General features: G+C 54.2%; 3 protein-coding genes across 5 annotated transcripts, besides 2 other annotated features; 1 reads left to right on the top strand and 2 right to left on the bottom strand.

Moving 5' to 3' along the window:
- CNKSR1 (connector enhancer of kinase suppressor of Ras 1) lies at positions 271-12,664 on the bottom strand. Of its 3 annotated transcripts, none has more exons than NM_001297647.2 (21): positions 12,556-12,664; positions 9,545-9,702; positions 9,259-9,440; positions 8,214-8,298; positions 7,753-7,794; positions 7,571-7,675; positions 6,899-6,958; positions 6,720-6,809; positions 6,325-6,426; positions 6,014-6,084; positions 5,868-5,941; positions 5,648-5,754; positions 5,543-5,570; positions 4,969-5,141; positions 2,914-2,987; positions 2,673-2,744; positions 1,848-1,921; positions 1,652-1,713; positions 1,458-1,557; positions 1,202-1,383; positions 271-876 (listed from the first exon to the last, which is right to left on the bottom strand). In NM_001297647.2, the coding sequence occupies exons 1-21, from the start codon at positions 12,605-12,607 to the stop codon at positions 607-609; spliced, it is 2,163 nt and encodes a 720-aa protein (NP_001284576.1). In that variant the 5' UTR covers positions 12,608-12,664; the 3' UTR covers positions 271-606. The 3 variants fall into 3 exon arrangements, with proteins under 3 accessions (NP_001284576.1, NP_006305.2, NP_001284577.1); NM_006314.3 differs by having other exon boundaries at positions 6,741-6,809; NM_001297648.2 differs by having other exon boundaries at positions 6,741-6,809; positions 7,571-7,670.
- Positions 7,584-8,085: an enhancer, noted in NCBI's record as "H3K4me1 hESC enhancer chr1:26508561-26509062 (GRCh37/hg19 assembly coordinates)". NCBI's record gives its function as "activates a minimal SCP1, AML or CMV promoter by ChIP-STARR-seq in primed H9 embryonic stem cells {active_cell/tissue: H9 hESC(primed)}" and the evidence as "EXISTENCE:reporter gene assay evidence [ECO:0000049][PMID:30033119]".
- Positions 18,323-20,634, top strand: ZNF593OS (ZNF593 opposite strand). The gene is made up of 4 exons (NM_001395468.1): positions 18,323-18,385; positions 18,466-18,538; positions 18,820-18,999; positions 19,557-20,634. Exons 2-3 carry the CDS (start codon positions 18,494-18,496, stop codon positions 18,964-18,966), a joined length of 192 nt encoding a protein of 63 aa, NP_001382397.1. The 5' UTR covers positions 18,323-18,385; positions 18,466-18,493; the 3' UTR covers positions 18,967-18,999; positions 19,557-20,634.
- Positions 19,282-20,247, bottom strand: ZNF593 (zinc finger protein 593). The gene is made up of 3 exons (NM_015871.5): positions 19,972-20,247; positions 19,675-19,737; positions 19,282-19,580 (listed from the first exon to the last, which is right to left on the bottom strand). The coding sequence occupies exons 1-3, from the start codon at positions 20,169-20,171 to the stop codon at positions 19,439-19,441; spliced, it is 405 nt and encodes a 134-aa protein (NP_056955.2). The 5' UTR covers positions 20,172-20,247; the 3' UTR covers positions 19,282-19,438.
- Positions 20,378-20,477: an enhancer, noted in NCBI's record as "active region_481". NCBI's record gives its function as "activates an Ori minimal core promoter by ATAC-STARR-seq in GM12878 lymphoblastoid cells {active_cell/tissue: GM12878}" and the evidence as "EXISTENCE:reporter gene assay evidence [ECO:0000049][PMID:35858748]".
- Positions 20,635-20,726: the final 92 nt, after the last annotated feature.

Below are 20,726 nucleotides of genomic sequence, written 5' to 3'. Positions count from 1 at the left end.
AGTTTCTCATTGTGTGCCCCCCGGGAATGGGGTAGGAGATCACCATTAGCCTTCAAAGAGCTGGGGAGAGGTGGACATGAGTCGGAGCCCTCATTAGCCATGGGTCATCCCCCACCATCCTGGCAGGCTTGGAGCTCGGGTACAGAGCCCAGGCCAACGGGCTGCACGAAGGGTCTGCCACCCACCCTCTGGCCAAGAGCACTCACCCCAGTCCCCACAGGGGGGCAGATTTCCAATTCGAATATGGAAGTAAAGTTACATGTAGACTCATTCTTAGAAAAATTGACTTTATTTGGTTGGAAAGTAGCCCTCATGTAAAATAAAGAACACCTGTACAGACCTGGTTTGGGGGAGAACTGCCAAGGAACTGGAGGGGCAGGGCTGTGGCCCCAGAGGTTGGAGGATTTGGGGGGAGAGTTTCTTCTTTGGCAAGGGAGAGGGTGGCACAAAGCCCAGGCAGAGGGGTCAGCTCGGGGTGAGACCATGACTAGCAGTACTACTTCCCACCCTGAACAGAATCCAGGGATGCTCTGTCCTGGACACGTCAGAAGCTGGGGTTGAGGTGGCCCTCGGGTCAAAGGTCAGGAGCTAGAGTGCTGGCCAGGGTCAGAGGTCAGGAGGTCGGAGGCTGCTCTCTGAGGTCAGGGGGCAGAGATGGGAGTGCTCTTCAGGGTCAGAGGGCAGGGAGTGGGGGGACTGTTCTGTGGAGTCAGAGGTCAAGATGTGGGAGCTGCCTTCAGCCTGTGCCACTCCCCAGGCCCCCAGGCCCTCTGAGTACAGCTCCCGGTTCTGCTCCTTCCACTGGCGGAACTTCTCTCCTGTCAGCTCAGGGTCACCCAGCACTTCTTCTAGGACCTGCAGCTCCTGCAGCTTTGCCTGTGTGGAGAGGAGGGGCTAAGGGACCATGATCACCCAGGGAAGTGGGCAGAGCCCGAGGCCAGACTTCACTCCGGAGGTCCGGTGCCTGGAAGCCAGCACCTGGCCAGCGTGGCACGAGGAGCCTAGGTGAGACTCAAATCCCCACTCGGAACCCAGAGCCTGGCCCAGTCCACAGCTGAGCCCGCTGTCAGCTGCTAAGCCCAGGGTCCGGAGCTGAGTCTGGAGTCTGGAGTCTGGTGCCCAGGGTGGAGGTGACAGCCGCAAACCAAAGCCTGAAGCCCAGAGCCTAGTCCCTTGCTGTGCCCAGAGCCCCCCAGCTGACCTTGAGTGTGCTCTGTAGCGCCCGCACACGGTGCACTCGCTCATTGAGCTGAGGGTCTCGGTTGCGCCGCATGAAAGAGCTCCGCCACTGTTCCTGGGTCAGGGGCTGTGGCTGGCCTAGGAGGGACACGCCACCCTGCCTCAGCCCCCGTACCATTCCTTCCAGTGCCTCTTCACTGCTGTCTGTGGGAGGGAAGAGCAGGATGAGGATGTGCCCACCCCAGCCCCCAGCCCAGCTCCCAACTCCAGCCCAGCACCTGTCAGAGAGCCAAAGGAGGTCCGTGGGCTGCGCTGTGTGGGGGTGGCTGCAGGTGATGTGTCTCCATGGAGGGGACTCCCAGCTTGAGCAGGGCTGGGCTGCAGGCAGGGTGGAAAGCACAGAGGGTTTCTGTCTGAGCTCCACGCCCTGTTGTTTATCCCCACCTCCTACCCCCGGCAGCCCCCCACTCACCGAGGCTGAGTGGGACCCAGCCTCATCGTCCGGGTCCTCTGCTTCGGTCTCACTGTAGCAGTCTGGGGTGAGGAGCAGCAGTGGGTTTTTGGGAGGCCAGGGAGTGGCCTAGGGCATTTGAGTTCCTAGCCCCCATCCCAGGAAAGGCACAGGCTCAGGTGAGGGTTCCTCCCACTCAACCCTGCGAGACACCTACCTTCCTCTCGGGGTGGGGGGGCCCGGCCTGGAGACTGGTACTTGGAGATGCAGGTAATGAGATGACGCACCCACCTATGGAGAGCAAGCAGGTCTCACAGGGTTTCCATCCACTGGGGCCCTCTTGTATGCTGGGGGCTTTTTACCCACATCATCTTCTAATGATCCTCAGAGCAACTCTGAGAGGGATGAACTCTTAGTCACCCATTTTATAGATGATGAAACTGAGGCTTAGAGAAGTGAGTACTGGCTGCGTGCGGTGGCTCGCGTCTGTCACCCCAGCACTTTGGGAAGCTGAGGCAGGAGGATTGCTTGAGGCCAAGTGTTTGAGACCAGCTAGGGCAAACCCATCTCCCCACAAAACTTTTTAATTAAAAAAAAAGAGAGATGCCGGGTGCAGTGGCTCACACCTGTAATCCCAGCTCTTTGGGAGGCCGAGGCAGGCGGATCACAAGGTCAGGAGTTCAAGACCAGCCTGGCCAACATAGTGAAACCCCCTCTCTACTAAAAATACAAAAATTAGCCGGGTATGGTGGTAGGCACCTGTAGTCTCAGCTACCTAGGAAGCTGAGGCAGGAGAATCACTTGAGCCCAGGAGGCGGAGATTGCAGTGAGCCAAGATCACGCCACTGCACTCCAGCCTGGGTGACATAGTGAGACTCTGTCTCAAAAAAAAAAAAAAAAAAAAGAGAAAGAGAAGTGAGTATCTTGACCAACCACTCTCAGAGAGCTGGAATTTGTATCTCCAGGCTCCTGAGCCTAGGCTCCCAAGCTCACAGAGTTTGGGAATCATATGAGAGTAGGGGCTAAGGGAGGCGGCACTCACATGCTCAGATCTGTCAGGGTATCAGCAGCGAAGATGAAGGGTTTGTACACATCATGGGTGAGCTGAAACACACTGCCAGGTAGTGGAGGAGCATCACTCAGCCTGGGCGTGCCCACCCACAGCCCAGAGAGGCTGGATTCTGGGCGCCCCAGCCACTTGCCACACCTCCCACTGCTACCCCATCACCCTTCCTCTCCCTTTCTGTCTCCATCCCCCAGCCCATCACACCCCAAGACTTAACTATTTCTTCTTCTGATCATGTCCACTTTCCAGACTATAGTTGGAGACATTGATGAGGCCCTCAGCCTTCTCATCCTGGGGGGATCACAGCATGAGGGTCAGGTTGGAACCCCAATACCCTCAAGGCCCAGTCAGCTCCTAGTTACCCCTCGGGCTCCTGAGAGTTGTGGAGAGGAGAAGGCATCTCCTGGGCTCTCTAACAAGTCTCTCTGTTTCTGGAGCTCAGGGCTGGAATCTGGGGTCAGGGTAGGAGATGTGGCCAAAGGATGCCTCTAAGCCAGGAAAGGGGAGCCAAAGATATCAGAGAAACAGCCAAAAAAAAAAAAAAGAGGAGCCTGAAGGCCGGGCATGGTGGCTCATGCCTGTAATCCCAGCACTTTGGGAGGCCAAGGCAGGAGGACCATTTGAGCCTAGGAGTTTGAGACCAGACTGGGAAAAAAGCCCATTTCTACAAAAAATTAAAAACTTAGGTCGGGTGTGGTGGCTCACACCTGTAATCCCAGCACTTTGGGAGGCTGAGGCGGGCAGATCATGAGGTCAGGAGTTCGAGACCAGCCTGGCCAACATGGTGAAACCCCATCTCTACTAAAAATACAAAAAATTAGCCAGGCATGGTGGCAGGTGCCTGTAATCCCAGCTACTCGGGAGGCTGAAGTAGGAGAATTGCTCGAACCTGGGAGGAAAAGGTTGCCATGAGCTGCGATTGCGCCACTGCACTCCAGCCTGGGCAACAGAGCGAGACTGCGTCTCAAACAAAACAAAACAAACAAAAAACTTAGCTAGGCATGGTGGCATGTGCCTGTAGTCCCAGCTACTCAGGAGGCTGAGGCAGGAGGATCGCTTGAACCTGGGAGGCTGAGGCTGTAGTGAGCTGAGATCATGCCACTGCCCTCCAGCCTGGGTGACAAAGCAAGACTCTGTCTCAAAAACAAAAACCAAAAAACCAAACAAGAAGAGCTTGCTCATGCATTTGTTCCTTCAGTAGACACAAACCAAACTGCTTCACACCCCTGAGCTTTCTGAATGCTGCTTTCTCTTCCTGGTTTTCTTTCCCCTTCCCATGCAACTAACTGCCAGGTATTGCATTGTCAGGGGGCATCTGGACTCCTCAGGATGGACTGGACACCTCTGCTGTGCTCCCACATATCCCTTGGGCTTTCCCTTTATCTTAGCACACGGTCCCTACATTGTCCTTGAGTGTGTATTCATCCCTCTCCCCTACTAGCCTCTAAGTTCTGGAGAAGCAAAAATCATCCAATTCTTCTCTGTGTCCATAGTGCCCAGCCTAGAGCTGGGTTCACAGTAGGCACCTGAATCCTGAATGAATAAATGAGTAAATGAATGGCCCATCATTCGGATGGACAGAATATCAGAAGGATAAGGAGAAGTGGGCAGAATAGACGTGATTTTTCGGCCAGATGTGGTGGCTCACGCCTATAATCCCAGCATTCTGGCGGGCTGAAGCAGGCAGAACGCTTGAGCCCAGGAGTTTGAGACAAGGCTGGGCAACATAGCAAGACTCCATCTTGCTATGTTGCCCAGATTTTTCAGGGCCGGGTGTGGTGGCTCACGCCTGTAATCCCAGCACTTTGGGAGGCCGAGGCAGGTGGATCACGAGGTCAGGAGATCGAGACCATCCTGGCTAACACGGTGAAACCCTGTCTCTACTAAAAACACAAAAAATATGCTGGGCGTTGTGGCGGGCGCCTGTAGTTCCAGCTGCTCGGGAGGCTGAGGCAGGAGAATGGCGTGAACCCGGAAGGTAGAGCTTGCAGTGAGCCGAGATGATGCCACTGCACTCCGGCCTGGGCAACAGAGTGAGACTTTGTCTCCAAAAAAAAAAAAAAAAAGATTTTTCTCTATACCTCCTATGATACCTTTTCCAAACTGCTTTTATACATATATTAACTCATTTCTCTCTGAATAAAGTCCCCATTTTACAGATGGGGACATCAAAGCCTTGGACCAGGAATAAGAGTGGATGATAGAATAGAGATGAGAATCGAGGCCTGGAAGTGACTCACTTGCCTACCTGTTTTTGTGTATGGGGTCTTACCTGGGGCTGGCGGTACCAGTAGAGCGTGTGTCCCTTGAGCACAAACCAGCGGCGGCGCCAGCGCGGGCCCATGAAGCCGCCCGGTGCCTTTCGCAACAGGAGCCAGCCGTCACAGTCCGGCCGGCCCAGCTCACGGCATGACACCCGCCGGCGGCTCAGCCGGGTCGCCAGGCCTGTAGCAGCACAGCACAAGCTGGGCAGTGAGGGGCTGGCAAGGTGCCCCCGCTAAACCTACTCCCTGCCTTCCACAAGCATCCCCAAGTGAGATCTCTGAACCCACACTCTGCTCAGAATGCTACATGTGTCATCTCTGAGGTGGGATGACCCTTCTTATTTTAGAGATGAGCAAACTGAAGACTAGAGGCTAACCTGTTTGCTCAGTCACAGCAAACAGGTTAGCCTCTAGTCTGGTGAGAGGCCCAGACTGGGAGCACAGCTCTGTCTGACCCTAGAAACAGAGCTGTTTCCAGGAGAGGCTGTGTGGGAAGGATGGGGGTGGTCTTGCCCAGCATGTAAAGATTTTTAACAGCTCCTCAAACAGGGGAACCCCCACCTAGTCCAGCGCACCTCATACCTTTTGATTTCTTCCGACCAACAGGACTCTGAAAGGACAGCAGAAGGGTGAGAGAAGGATCTAGGTCCAGACCCACCCACCCCCTTGCTAAGCCCCTGAGCTTACCTTGTCAGGGGATTCAGGGAGCCCTGGAGTCCCTGCTACCCCTGCTGGGAGTATGGCTGGGGGTTCCGGGGGGATGGGCAGGGGCTCAGGGCCAAGGGAGGCAGAGTCTGTCAGGGAGGGAGGAGAGAGAGGGAAAGTCTATGAGCCCAGTCCCAGGCTTGGGGTCAGAACTGGGTGCCCAGATGCCGTGTCCGGGGCATCCATGGAGCTTTGAGACTACCTGTCCAGGCAGGGCTGGGTCCGGGACTGGGGTTTGAAGACAGGTCAAAGGCAAAGACGTCTTCAGATGGGGCCCTGGGGAGGGCAAGGGGGATGAGATGAGCCCACGGTCTCCCCACCAAGACACACCTGGACAGAGCCTGTTACCTGGGAGACAGTGGGGCCAGAGACAGTGATGGGCTCCTCTGGTGCGGGGAGTCCAGGACCTGAGGGGGCGTCTGGGGAACAACCAGGAACAAAGCAATGGAGACAGGGGTCTGAAAGCAGGTTGGGGGGCAACAGGGGTAGGGGAGCAGCAGGAGCAGGTACCTGTGGGGGGGTCTGAAGGGAGCTAGGGGGGCGCAGCAGGGGAAGGTGCCTGTTGGGGGGGGTCTGAAGGCAGGTGTGGGGGTGGTGGGGGCAGGTACCTGTGGAGGGGGGGGTCTGAAGGCAGGTCGGGGGGCGGCAGGGGAAGGTACCTGTGGGGGGGTCTCCGGTATCGGGATCTTCTTCAGCACTAAGCTGAGTCCGGCTGGCTCCCGCAGCAGTTCCCTCACCATGTTCTTACGGGGCCATCCCACCTGGGGGACAGAAACACTGGCTGGTATCAACCTGGGCAGGAGGCTCTAAAGCAACCACCAACTCTCACCCTCGTGCTGGGAGCTCTCTCTCAGCCTCCCACTTCTGCCTCCCACTCATGCAGCCTCCTGGGGGCTTCCATGGGCCCCATCACCTGGGCTCTGCAGAGGATGCTCTCACCAGACTTAGCTGGCTCATCTCCTGGAAGGCAGCTCCCACAACCCTGGTCAGAACCCTTGGTTGCCTCCCCACCCACCAGACTTGGGTTCCACTCGGTGACCCCTTCACCTCCTACCATGTCCCTCTCCTCACGCACCACCACCTGCTCGTTGATCTGGACAACCTCGTCTCCAGGCTGGATCTGCAGTCGGGAGTCAGTGGGAACCTGACGTGGGGAATGGGGCCTGAGGTTGGCCTGGCTTGCAGGTGAGAGGCCTCGGGGATGGGCGGCTGAGAAGGGTGTGGGGCTCTCACCTGGGTGTCCACTTGGGACACAAAGTGCTGGCAATTGCTGGTGGTGTGAATTTCTAGGCCCTGCAGAGGCAGAGGCTATAGTCACCGGGGGCTGGGGGGCAACAGGGCCAATAGGCAGGACCCCCGCCAGACACCAGGACTCTATGGTGGGTGGAACTGTGGCAAGAGCTGACCCCAAGCTGGTCCTGCCCAGACTTGCTGTATGACTTTGGACTTGCTACTCCTGTGGGCCTCTGCCTTCTCCTCTGCTAAGAGCCAGAGGGAAGCTGGAGACCCTGATTTCTGAGGTACCAGCTTCTCAGCAACATTCCTAAAGGGACAAGCAGGGACAGGGCAGGGATAGGGCTCTGGTCTTCCCCACTGGTCAAAGATTAAACCAAGAAAGGTCACATCCTCTCCCTTTCTCCTAACTGCCCCCAAGCCCCTGCCCCGTCTCCATCCCAAGGCTGGAACACACTACCTGAGGCCACACCCGCGTGGCCCCTCAGGACTGGGGAGGTGCAGAGCAACGGGAGACCCTGGCCAATCCTCTGGGCCTCCATTTTAGCATCTGTACAAAAAAGGCTTTCCAGCCATGGCAGCACAGGGTTCTGTGGGATCCTGGACCCTATTTCAGGGCCCAGACAAGGCTGCCAAGGGGTCAGAAGTGAGAGGTGGGAGGGCAGGGCTCACCAATGGACTGTCCAGCTGCACCTGCTCGAGCACGGCCTTCTGTTCCAGCAGCTCCTTGGGGCAGCAGACCAGGATGTTGTGGCAGATCCCAGCCACGTGGCTGCACTGGGGGAGGGGAGCGGGCTATGTAGCCTGAGCCCGATCGCCCCTACCCCCACTCTCTTCCCACCCCACAGACTCACGATCCTCAGGACTGTGCCCTCCTTCTCAGCCGCTGGACCATCCTGGAAGTAGAATGAGAGAGCAGGGGCCTCCCCTGAGCAAGGGCCATAAGGGGACTGCCTTCTCCTGGGGGCAGGGTGGGATTCCGTACAGTCCCTCCCTGCCTTCCCTACACTGGCCCCCTGCCCAGAACCACAGGGCCTCAGCGTTTTAACCAGAGGGCTCGTTTCCCTGATACCAGGCCCCCAGAAGTCACCACACGTGCCCTCCCCTCCTTCCCTGTCCTGAGTGTCAAAATTCCCCTGCCAGCTAGGGGACCCCAGGCCCCATTGTCCCATACCCAGTGGCAGGGCCTCCTCTCCTCCTTTCTCGCCCGTCTCAATCCTCATACTCGATCCTGGGCTGATTCACAGGTTATAAAAAGCTCTAGCCCAGCTTGGTCTCTAGGGCATGGGCCAAGCCTGGCCCTTGGTTCTCCTACCTCATGCAAGACCTGGCTCAGCTCCTCCAACAAGTCTCGGATCTCCTGGCATGCTGAGAAATCATTTAAGTGGGAGAAGAGGTACCTGGCAGGGGAAGAATAGCACAGTGGTTAAGGGACTATGCTTAACCACTCAGAGCCAATTACTCACCAATTACTCACCTCAGAGACTTGGGGATAATACCTGCTCTGATGGGTTTTGGTTTAGAGTAAAGGAGATGATTGAGACATCTAAAGAGATTAGCACAGGACTTATTTGTCATGTGCCTACCACATGCCAAGCCCTGTTCTAGGCACTGGGGAAACAGACAGTAAAGACATCATACATCAATATCAATTTAACTTTGGCTGTAATGAGTATCATGAAACATTGGATAATGAGTTTATAATAAGTTATTATTTATTATTTATTAATAGTATAGCTTGGAGAGTGTACAACAGGGAAGGCTTCCCCGAGATGACATTTGAGGTGGGGTCTGTAGGACAAGCAGCAGCCAGTGCACAGGGTTGGGGAGGCTCTCCATTCAGTGGTTGTTGATGAGATCGATTATTACAAGCTGGAGGGTGGGGTGGGAACTCTGGCATCCCAGTGCCCCTGCACAGGTGGATTAATCCCTCTGCCCTGCTCCACCATATCTTTTTTTTTTTTTTTTTTTTTTTTGAGAGGGAGTCTCACTCTGTCGCCCAGGCTGGAGTACAGTGGCATGATCTCGGCTCACTGGAACTTCCACCTCCCAGGTTTGAGTGATTCTCCTGCCTCAGCCTCCCCAGTAGCTGGGATTACAGGTGCGCACCACCACACCTGGCTAATTTTGTATATTTTTGGTAAAGATGGGGTTTCACCATGTTGGCCAGGCTGGTCTCCAACTCCTGACCTCAAGTGATCTGCCCGCTTCGGCCTCCCAAAGTGCTGGGATTACAGACCTAAGCCACCACGCCTGGCTCACCATATCTGAACAAGAGCCAAGATCTGTTTTTCTCTCCCACGCCCTGAAGGAGGCCAAGGATGACAATAGTCCCTCACTCGTCACCCCAACCCGGGTACCTGCTGAGCCAGAAGAGGAGGGCGTCAGCTTCATGCAACAGCTCCACAGCTGCACAGAGGACATCAATAGGGGTCTTGGCACAGTCCCCCAGGCAGCCTTGGACTATGCTCTGGAAGTCATGGGTTGCCCCCAGAAGTCCCTCTGTCAGGCTTTGCAGGTTCTCTGTCTGTAGCCTGGAGCTCTGTGCCAGAAAGAGGGCAAGTCACCTCCCTGGCAGCAGCCAGCCCCCCATCACACCCCCCAGGTTGGTGGAAGCTGCAGCCAGTGTGACCAGCATTCACTCACCAGGGCCTGGAGCTGTTCCACCCCGCCCAGGATGAGCTCCTGGTGTCCCAGAGACCGCACAGCCAGAGCCTCGAGGCTTTGGGGGCAGAGCTGGAGCAGGTTCTTGCCAGGCAGCTGCCAGTCCTCAAAGGGATAGTCCTGCAGGGAGTCGTCAAGACCTGGAGGGAGAGTAAGGCTCAGCTCGGGGAAGCAGAGGTGTCAGGACCTTTTGGGATGGTTCTTCATGCCTGCAAAGCTCTTTTCCCTCTAGTCTAACCCTAATGACAACTCTGACACCCAGGCTGTTCTGCCCATTTCACAGATGAGGCCACTGAGTTGAGAAGCAGGAAAGTATAGGACATGGGTTCTTAAAAGTGGCCCCCAGACCAGCAGCAGCAGACTCACCGGAGAACTTGTTAGAAATGCAAATTATCAGGCCTCACCCCACACCTGCTGAATCAGAAACTCTGAGGTTGGGGCCCAGCAGTCTTTTTTTTGTTTTTGTTTTGTTTTTTCTTTTTGAGACAGGGGCTTGAGACACAGTCACGGCTCACTGCAGCCTTGACCTCCTAGGCTCAATCCATCCTCCCACCTCAGCCTCCCAAGTAGCTGGGACTACAGGCACACACCACCACACCCAGCTAATTTTTGTATTTTTTGCAGAGGTGGGATTTCACCATGTTGCCCAGGCTAGTCTCGAACTCCTGGGCTCAAGCAATTTGACTGCCTCAGTCTCTGAAAGTGCTAGAATTACAGGTGTGAGCCACGACGCCCAGCCAGCAGTTTGTATTTTAATGCAGGTGACTGTGATGCTCCCTTAAGTTTGAGAACTAATGATACAGGGGATAAGAACAAGAGGCTATGGAGTCACTGAGACACTGTGAACACTTGAGCAAGTAATAGCACTGCTCTGTGCCCAGTTTTCTCACCTGTAATGTGAGAATAATAAAAGTACCTACCTTCTAATCATGTGTGTATTGAATGACACAACATATGTCAAGGCCTTGGCCACTGTCTGGTTCGTGGGAGACAGCCAATAATAGCCATCATATTATTATTGCCAGACTTTACCATGACCTACAGGCCCTGTATGATTAGGCTACTACCTCCCTTTCCAGCATCATATCCTGAAGAGCCCCCTAAACTCAACATTTCAGATGCACAGAGCTAATTCCTTGCAGCTCCTGGAACACCCTTTTACCTCAGCGTCCTTGCAAGTGCTATTCCTCCTGCTGGCGTTGCTCTTCTATCTCCTTCACTTCCTTTTTCATCTAACTTCCTCCAGGAAGCCTTCCATAACTTCCCAGGCTGAGTGGGATGGAGGGCTCTCCTCTTGTTCCCACTGCCCCTGAGCCTCCACAAACCCCTGCACTTGACCATCGGTCTTTCCCATTTTATCACAGGCTCTTCAAAGATCAGGCCTTAGATAACCATTTGTCTCTAACCCCCGGCCTGTGCCTGGACAAGGTAGGCACTGAAAAATAAGAAAAGTGTCTATTGAGGGCTTACTATGTGCTATGCAAATCTATAAGAGCTTTACACATATTAACACATTTGATTCTCACTGCATTTCTAGGAGGTAAAGACTATCATTATCCTGCTTACAGATGGGAAAACTGACACAGAGGTTAAGTAGCTTGCTCACTCTTCGAAGGAATTCTTCCCCTTCTAAGCCAGGCTCCTTCACTGGGGGAGGTGTGTGTGTGTGTTCCCTGTGTCACATTGAGAGCACTGGACTGGGAGTTCATGAACCTATCACTCCCTGGCTATGGGCCCCTGAGCCACCTCCTTCCTGCACGGTGACTGTATTGGGCTGGTGCCCTCCCAATAGACCCAGGCATTGAGCTACAAATGAACTATGTCATGATTGTCTCACTTTGTCGACTTCATAAGGTCAGAGTTGCCTTTCCCATTTGATGGACAGAAAAACTAAGACCTATGGTCACAGAGCTGGCAAGCGGTGGGGGTGGGCCTGGAATCCAGCCTGGGAGTCTGAACCCAGCCCTGAATTCCTGCCCTTACCCGGGCTGGTCCTCCTGAGCCTGTCTCTAGTGCGCTCCAGCTCCCCACTCTGGGAGGGGTGTCCTGACTGCCTGCTCCTGGTCGCACTGTGTGTCAGGAGGCCCTTCCTTCTCTGAGTCTGCCTGTGGGGTGTGTTGCTTCCCATCTGTGTGGGCTCGCTGAGCCTGGACAGCACCTTGCCCCTTGGATAGGAGCCCCAGGGTGGGGCTGTGTCAACCTCTTCAGTCTGGCCTAGGGCTTCTGCTTCTGTCACTAGGAGCTCAGGGTGTGGAGCGGGGAAAATGACACCAGAGACTGAGCAAATCATTTCCTGGCTCTGTGTGTCAGTTTCTGACTCTAAGAAACGGATTTAACAACAGCCCACTGGCCCTGGGGCCAGGGAAGATGAAGGAGATACAGTGGGTGTGGGCCTGTCAGGCCTCCCTCCTGTTTTCATGACACCGCCTCCCCATTATCACCCTAGAGGCCTCTTGGGCTACTGCCATGATGAGGGGCCCCCTTCTGGGTCCTTGGGCCCCCCAGGGTCATCTCATCTGTCTCTCTGCCCAGCACGGTTCCTGGAACATGTTAGGTGCTCTGTAAATATTTGTTGACTGACTGACCGACTGATAGAGCCCGCAGTTTATTATTTTTTTTTTTCTTTTGAGCTGAATCTCGCTCTGTCGTCCAGACTGGAGTGCAGCGGTGCAATCTCGGCTCACTGTAACCTCTGCCTCCTGGGTTCAAGCGATTCTCCTGCCTCAGCCTCCCAAGTAGCTGGGATTACAGGCACCTGCCACCACCCCCAGATAATTTTTGTATTTTTAGTAGAGACGGGGTTTCACCATGCTGGTCTTGAACTCCCGACCTCAGGTGACCCACCCACCTTGGCTTCCCAAAGTGCTGGGATTACAGGTGTGAACCAGCGCACCCAGTCCGCAGATTTTTTTTCCTTTTCCTCTCCTCCCGCTTCCCGGTGGGACACCACACCTAGTCCCCTTCAAGCCCAACTCTACCCCAGCCCCACCCACCTCTCAGCCAAGTTGCCACCTTTCCGGGGGTCCAGGTCTCTACCGGTTCCATGGCCCAGCTCTGCCAGCTCGAATCAGCTCCTGTTTTGCCCTGCTGTCGCCGGAATTTCCGCTCCCAGAGCCCAGGCCTAAGGAGGGGCCGGGCTGGGTCCTGGGCGGAGCCTACTGCATACCTGGGCTCACACAGACGGCAAGATGAGGCACTGCGACAGCCATTGGCCCACGCCCGTCCGCCTCCTGCCCGGCCCTTCAGACATCCTAGGGCTCTGGCATCTCGCGCCTGCTAGGGGGCAGTGCCACTGGCCTCATATCGCGGGGTGGGACCCTGACCCTTGGGCTCCTCAAGAAAAAGCCACAAGAGGAGCGCTGAAATCAGTAGCAAAGCACAGAGGCTAGGGGGCCAGGTCCCTGGGTGCCTAGGCCAGCTCTTGTTAGCTGTGTGACCTGGGGCTGACCCTAACTTCTGCGCCTCAGTTTCTGGGTCTGTAAAAGAGATATAATAGACCGTACTTCAAAGGGCAGCTGTGCACAGTATCTGAATGGCTTGAAAACATTTAGAACTGGGGTGTTTAGCCTCCCTTGGATTTTGCAGTATGGACTCTGGCATCTGGTGAGGCCTGTGAATGCTTTCTCAGAATAGCTGCTTATAAAGGCATAAAACAGGCCGGGCGCGGTGGCTCACGCCTGTAATCCCAGCACTTTGGGAGGCCGAGGTGGGCGGATCACTTGAGATCAGGAGTTCAAGACCAGCCTGGCCAATATGGTGAAACACCATCTCTACTAAAAATACAAAAAATTAGCTGGGCGTAGTGGGTGCTTGTAATCCCAGCTACTCAGGAGGCTGAGGCAGGAGAATCCCTTGAACCCAGGAGGGGGAGGTTCCAGTGAGCCAAGATCGTGCCACTGCACTCCAGCCTGGGCAACAGAGCAAAACTCTGTATTATAAATAAATAAATAAATGCACAAAACAAAATGCTTAGGATTACAATGAGAACAATTATCAAAACTATATTTAAAAACAAATTTGGCCGGGCATGGTGGTTCACGCCTGTAATTCCAGCACTTTGGAAGGCCAAGGCGGGTGGATCATGAGGTTAAGAGATGGAAACCAGCCTGCCCAACATGGTGAAACCCCGTCTCTACTAAAAATACAAAAATTAGCTGGGTGTGGTGGTGCACGCCTGTAGTCACAGCTACTCAGGAGGCTGAGGCAGGAGAATCGCTTGAACCTGGGAGGCGGAGGTTGCAGTGAGCTGAGATCACGCCTCTGCACTCCAGCCTGGCAACAAAGCAAGACTCCGTCTCAAAAAAAAAACCCACAAAAAACAAAAAAAAAATTTGGAGCTGGGGAGTGCTGGCACACGACTGTAGTCCCAGCTACTCGAGAGGTTGAGAGGTTGAGCGGGGGAGTATCACTCAAGCCCAGGAGTCAAAGCCACCCTGGGCAACATAGCAGGAGCCCATCTCAAAAAAATAAAACCAGAAATTTATATTATGTGTTTACTAACATTAATAAGACTGGCCGAAAGTTAAATTTTTCTTTTTTAATGACCTCAGTGTGTTGTCGACCAGCTTGAATAAGGACATTAAACTGTGGGGTGGTCTTTGACGCCCCTCCTCTTACATATTGATCAGCAAACAACTAAAAACAGGGAATGCTGGGCCGGGCATGGTGGCTCACGCCTATAATCGAGACGGGCGGATTATGAGGTCAGGAGATCGAGACCATCCTGGCTAACATGGTGAAACCCCGTCTCTACTAAAAATACAAAAAATTAGCCAGGCATGGTGGCGGGCGCCTGTAGTCCCAGCTACTCAGGAGGCTGAGGCAGGAGAATGGCGTGAACCCAGGAGGCAGAGCTTGCAGTGAGCCGAGTTCGCGCCACTGCACTCTAGCCTGGGCGACAGAGCAAGACTTCGTCTCAAAAAAAAAAAAAAAAAGACAGGGAATGCAGAAGAGTGGAGAAGCCCTACTCAGAACAGGCAGATTCGCCCTTTGGTCACTGAACCACTGCTAAGCCTGGAGGTAACCAATTAATGGCGGCTACATCACAGGAGCATCTGAAACAGAAGTTGCTCACGAACAATTTAGTGGTGGTTTAACAACCACTGTGATTTTGAAATCACTTGAGCATAAATATTTTGAGATACTTGCAATAACTACAATTTGATATGAAAATATGTGATTTCTATTGGTGACTAAGCCAAAGATACTGCTACTGCTTCAATCCATATAGAAGGAAATCATAAATTTTGGTTAGAGTTTAGCAAAAATAAAAATATAATTTTTTCCCATCCAAGTTTATGGATCCCCTGAATTCTGAACCTCAGAGCAAGAGCTTTAATCTTAGAAAAATATCTGACACATAGTAAATGTTCATTTTCATCATCATCATCAGGTCAGGGGACTCCCAGGACTTTAGAATCAGATAAAATCAGCCGGGCGTGGTGGCTCAGGCCTGTAATCCCAGCACTTCAGGAGACCTATGCGGGCGGATCACCTGAGGTCAGGAGTTCGAGACCAGCCTGACCAACATGGAGCAACCCCATCTCTACTAAAAATACAAAATTAGCCGGGTGTGGTGGCACATGCCTGTAATCCCAGGTACTCGGGAGGCTGAGGCAGGAGAATTGCTTGAACTCATGAGGTAGAGGTAGCGGTGAGCTGAGATCGCGTCATTGCACTCCAGCCTGGGCAACAAAAGTGAAACTCCACCTCAAAAAAAAAAAGGCCGGGCGCGGTGGCTCATGCCTGTAATCCCAGCACTTTGGGAGGCCAAGGCGGGTGGATCATCTGAGGTCAGGAGTTCGAGATCAGCCTGGCCAACATAGAGAAGCCCTGTCTGTACTAAAAATCCAAAAAATTAGCCGGTCGTGGTGGCGGGCGCCTATAATCCCAGCAACTCGGAAGGCTGAGACAGGAGAATTGCTTGAACCCGGAAGCAGAGGTTGCAGTGAGCCGAGATTGCGCCACTGCACTCCAACCTGGGCAACAAGAGCAAAACTCTGTCTCAAAAAAAAAAAAAATCAGATAAAATCAGTTCCATACTCAACTGCTATGTGACTCAGCCCAACTTCTACAGCTCTCTGAATCTGTTTCTTTGTCTCCAGAAGGGGATTCCTAGGCCTTAGCACTGTGATGACATTAAGTACTTTGAAATCTGTATCATGGGGTAGATATGAGTTATTATTGCTTTAATTCTGTGGGGAGGAGCTACCTGTTGTCACCTACTTCAGAATTTCTGCAGCACCCCCAGTCATCAAAGCCTGTCACGACCTTACCTGTAACCCAGAGACCCAAAGTCTGAATTTCGCCCATGGTTGGCCCATGTAGTGTACGTGTGTTGTCATCATTTAATAACGTCACATCCAAATTGAGATTTCCAGCTTCTCTGAACTTGGCCAGCTCTGGTGATGCCATCCCACCTTCACACTTGGTATTAACAGCCTCTTTCATTTTGTGAGCCAGTTGGCTTCAAATTTGCAAAATGCCCGTCTCCAGCTTTGTCTTTTGCCTCAGGTCTGTGTCCCTTGAACACTCCGTGCTGCATCCTCGTTTAACATTTTTGCCTCTTCATGCAGCAGCCTCCCTGTGGCACTCTGGGGAAGTCCAGTAAATTCTAATAGAGCCTTTATCAGTGTTCGGTAGACAGATCTTGATTTCATCAAATATCTTTCCTGAGCTGCCACCAGAGGTGAGAACCAGCCCCCTCTCTCCCTGAACCACGGCGCCTTTACTCTACGCTCCCAGCATCTGCCAGGGTTAGGCAGTTAGGAACACAGTAAGTGGCAGCTTCTATTTATTTTTATCTATTTTTTTGAGACAGAGCTTTGCTCTTGTTGCCCAGGCTGGAGTGCAATGGCATGATCTTGGCTCACTGCAACCTCCGCCTCCCAGGTTCAAGCTATTCTCCTGCCTCTGCCTCCCAAGTAGCTGGGATTACAGGCGTGTGCCACCATGCTCGGCTAATTTTGTATTTTTAGTAGAGATGGGGTTTCACCATGTTGACCAGGCTGGTCTCAAACTCCTGACCTCAAGTGATCTCCTTGCCTCGGCCTCTCAAAGTGCTGGGATTACAGGCGTAAACCACCACGCCCGGCTGACAACTTCTATTTTAAAGGGTTTCATTTTGTTTTTTGAGAGAGTCTTGCTCCGCTGCCCAGGTTGGAGTGCAGTGGCGCAGTCTTGGCTCACTGCAACCTCTCCCTCCCAGGTTCAAGTGATTCTCGTGCCTCAATCTCCCAAGTAGCTGGGATTACAGGTGTGCGCCACCACACCCAGCTAATTTTTTTATTTTTAGTAGAGACAGGGTTTTGCCATGTTGGCCAGGCTGGTCTCGGACTCCTGACCTCAAGTGATTCACCTACCTTGGCCTCCCAAAGTGCTGGGATTACAGGTGTGAGCCACCATGCCCAGCCTATTTTAAAAAGCTTTATGAATATAAAGTTCTACATATTTGCTGTATACATTTCAAAGGTAATAGGTTAAGTGAAAGAAGGATGTGCCCTTTCCCCAGTGTGTCTCTATCATGTTCCCCAGTGGGGGCCACTACTAAATTTGGGATATTCTTCTATTTTCTATATCTGCAGATAGTCTACATACTATTCTGCAAATTGTACTTTTTCTTTTTTATTTTTATTGGAGACAGGGTCTGGCTCTGTCACCCATGCTGGAGTGCAATGGTGCAACCTCAGCTCATTGCAGCCTCCACCTCCTGGGCTCAAGTGATCCTCCCACCTCAGCCTCCTGAGTAGCTGGGACTACAGGCATGCACCACCATGCCTGGCTAAATTTTTTTTTTTTTTTTTGGTAGAGATGAGGTTTCACCACGTTGCCCAGGCTGGTCTTGAACTCCTGGGCTCAAGCCATCTGCCTGCCTCAGCCTCCCAAAGTGCTGCCCAGCCATACTTTTTCATTTAAGAGATAATCGATAGCAAATGAAATAATACAAGTTAAGTGCTTAGAACAATGACTACTATTTTTAACGTATCACGGGCAGCTTCCTTAATTGGTATATGCAGATATGCTTTTATTATTGTTTCAAGCTGAGGGCAGGGAAGTCCCTGAAGAAACTTTGTCTTGAAAAAATGGGTTAAATTGGCCGGGCGCAGTGGCTCACACCTGTAATCCCAACACTTTGGGACGCCAAGGCGGGGGGATCATGAGGTCAGGAGTTCAAGACCAGCCTGACCAATATGGTGAAACCCCGTCTCTACTACAAATACAAAAATTAGCTGGGCGCGGTGGCAGGTGCCTGTAATTTCAGCTACTCAGGAGGCTGAGGCTGGAGAATCGCTTGAACCTGGGTGGCAGTGAGACGAGATCATGCCACTGCACTCAAGCCTGGGTGACAGAGTGAGACTTCTGTCTTAAAAAAAAAAAAAAAAAGGGTTATATGTGCCCTCCCTTGAGGTAGGGGCGGTTGATTTCACAGAAATCAAATGGAAAAGGCATACTGTTGTGGGAGCTAATAACACATCCTTCCTTCGATAATGCTGATTGGTGGCATCCAATCATCTAAGGTAGCGATGGGGCCTGGACCAGGGCTGAGGGAGGCCCGCCCAGTACCTGGTCCAGGCCTGGGACTCCTGAGCACTGCCAGCCAAGGCCTCTCCTGCCTAACCGGACCCGCCTCCTCGGAGAGTGGGGGAGGTGCCGCTCAAGCCTGATGCTGATCTCTTTTGACAGCTGCTTCTAAGGCTGGCAGGATGGTAGGCAGTGGGGGAAGGGACCAGATTTAAAGGTCCAGTTGCTCCGCCCCCTGCCAGACCTGGGCAGGCAGGCGCGGGTGAGCATCCTCTGAGAGCTTGGGTCTTGCGTATGTGGAAGGTCAGAGACCCCTCTACCCTAGTTTCCACTTCTTGGTGTCATGAAGACCACTGGTCTTCACGTCCGCTCCCACCCTACAGGCCGCCAGGGAGACCAGTGCCGCCCACCATGCGATTTCGACGCTTGACCCCTGGTTACTTCCGGGTGTTACAGGTAAGTACCCCTGATCAACGGTTTCTGGCACGACTGACCCCTTCCTCCCCCTACCATAGCTGGGTTGACACCCCCAACAGCCAGGCTGTCACGTTCCCTGCCGCCTGAGCAGGCAGGCCCAGATGGGCAGTGAGGCGAAAGGGATTGGGGTGGAATCTCCCTGGGGCAGGACCGGCGTCCATGTCTCCTTCCCCTAGCTACATCTACTCAGCCCTTTCCCACTCCCCACCTTCCTGGCAGTCTCAACTGACCCCTGAGGCACACCCTCTGTGCACCTCCAGATGCAGGTAGCTGGTGAGCTGAAGGCAGAGCCCCGGAGTCTGCTGGCAGGAGTTGTGGCTACAGTGCTAGCTGTCCTCGGCCTGGGTGGCTCCTGCTATGCCGTCTGGAAGATGGTGGGGCAGCGGCGGGTGCCACGGGCCCCGTAACGAAGAAGAGAGACTCTCACTTGGATGCTGGGGGTAGGTGACTCGGGAGGGGGGTGCAATCTCAGAAGCCTTCTTTTCTGGGGATCAGTCTCTGTCAGAAGCAGGACAGAGTAATCTGATCCCACTCCCGCCACCCCACACTGCATCAGGCCTCCATCTGGGTGCTCCAGTTCAGATGCTAGGACCTCAGAGGGAAGGCAGAGATAGACCAAGTGGGGAGTAGACACCCTAGGCCTGGTGTACAGAAAGTAGTAGAGAAGCCCTTCCAGGGCAGGAGTTTGAGACAGCGGCCTGGAAGTTAGAGTTGGAGGCAAGTTCTCTTTGTCCAGTTCCTTTATTTGGGGCAGGGCACCAAGAAGAGGCCCTCCGCTCCCCAAACCCAGAGGCAAAAGGGGTTGGCACGCTCCCTCCCAGCCTAGTCCTTGCGTCACTGTCCATGGGCAATTCCTCTGCCCTGCATCTTCAGGCCATGTCAGGTAGAGGTATCCATCTCAGGGACCTCAGTGGACACTTCCGTGGGCACTGCCAGCCGCCTGGGGGGCACATAGGATCCCATACCCGCTGCCCTCTCCGCCTCTTCCTGACTGTAGGGCTCGACGCTCAGCTGCTTCAGCCTGGGAGAAAGAAAAACAGGAGTTGGGAGCTGACCAGGTGAGAGCCCTATCTGCTGAGCACCCATCCATCAATCCTCTCCTTACTCCTTCATACCTTTTCTTGTGGTCTTTGGATCGGAAGTGGGTCTTCAGGTTGGTGGAATCGATGAAGTACCTCCTGTAGGAATGGAAGTGAGAAGGAGAGTGAGGAGGTGATAGTCTCCCAAGTGCACCTATCTCCCTAGCCCTAGCTTGTCCCTGACGCCAGGATCCGGGTCTGAGAAACGGGAGGCGGGCGGACCCACGGGTCCCAAGAGAGAAGACTCTGCGCTGCCTGGGGCTTCAACTTCACATCTCCCGGCCGGTACCGCGGACCCTCCTCCGCCCCAGGCCGGGCTCGTCCGGGACTCACGCGCAGGCCAGACAGCGGTGCAGACCGCCCCCTGGCAGGTCGGGGTCGAACTCGGCGTTTGGGTCGGGCTGGGGTCGTGCGGATCCCTGAGGCCGCAGCTCGCGGTGAATCTCATCCAAGTCCGGCCGCCGCCGCTTCGCCTTCATCTGCCGGGCTAGAGAGTGCGCTCGGTGCGCGCCTGTCCGGCGGGAGCGACCCATGGCCAGAAACAGCCCGGCCGGCCAAGGGGCCAGGAGCAGGGCAGGGAGCACACGTGTGAGCACTTCCGGGCCGATCAGCTACGTCAGGCCACGCCGGGGGGCTAGGCAGGCTCGGCCGGACCGCCTCTGATGACGTCACTCTCGGCCAGCGGCTCGAGCGCCGCCAGGCGGCCGTCGACGTCAGTGACCGAGCTCAGGACGGGCTCCCAGAAGTGTGCCCACTGAAGGGCATGGCCCCGCGGGCCCTCGCTGGGGAGGCGCGGGGTGGTGCGTGCGCCTGGGGGTTTCGGGGCCGTCTTGCTGCCCTGCTCTTCCTGGCCTGGTCCAACCAGTATCAGTGCCAACCTGTACTCCTGTCATCCCTTCCTGTTTCCCAGACCTTGGACTCCGCGGTGGGGGTGGGATGCTTTATCTCTGGAAAGCACTGATAAATGTCTGTGTCATGAATAAATTAGTAAATGACTGAGAGTGAATAAGTTTGGAATCCCAGCCCCACCAGGGCTTCCCGAGATAATCTCCAGTCCCTGAAAAAGCCCTCACTTCTCCGGGCTCCCG

This window comes from Homo sapiens, chromosome 1, assembly GCF_000001405.40.
Source record: "Homo sapiens chromosome 1, GRCh38.p14 Primary Assembly".
NCBI lineage: Eukaryota > Metazoa > Chordata > Mammalia > Primates > Hominidae > Homo > Homo sapiens.
Note: the sequence above shows the minus strand (reverse complement) of the source record. Positions and strands in the feature narration are given on the sequence as shown.

Excerpts from the sequence above, each read along its gene's own strand:
- ZNF593 (NM_015871.5), bottom strand. The coding sequence starts at position 20,171 with ATGGGTCGCTCCCGCCGGACAGGCGCGCACCGAGCGCACTCTCTAGCC. Across the intron at positions 19,738-19,971 it reads CACCGCTGTCTGGCCTGCGC|GAGGTACTTCATCGATTCCA; the intron begins GTGAGTCCCGGA and ends CCATTCCTACAG. Across the intron at positions 19,581-19,674 it reads TCCAAAGACCACAAGAAAAG|GCTGAAGCAGCTGAGCGTCG; the intron begins GTATGAAGGAGT and ends TCTTTCTCCCAG.
- CNKSR1 (NM_001297647.2), bottom strand. The coding sequence starts at position 12,607 with ATGGAACCGGTAGAGACCTGGACCCCCGGAAAGGTGGCAACTTGGCTG. Across the intron at positions 6,959-7,570 it reads TGCAGCTGGACAGTCCATTG|GGCCTAGAAATTCACACCAC; the intron begins GTGAGCCCTGCC and ends CTGCCTCTGCAG. Across the intron at positions 877-1,201 it reads CGCTACAGAGCACACTCAAG|GCAAAGCTGCAGGAGCTGCA; the intron begins GTCAGCTGGGGG and ends CTCTCCACACAG.
- ZNF593OS (NM_001395468.1), top strand. The coding sequence starts at position 18,494 with ATGCGATTTCGACGCTTGACCCCTGGTTACTTCCGGGTGTTACAG. Across the intron at positions 18,539-18,819 it reads GTTACTTCCGGGTGTTACAG|ATGCAGGTAGCTGGTGAGCT; the intron begins GTAAGTACCCCT and ends GTGCACCTCCAG.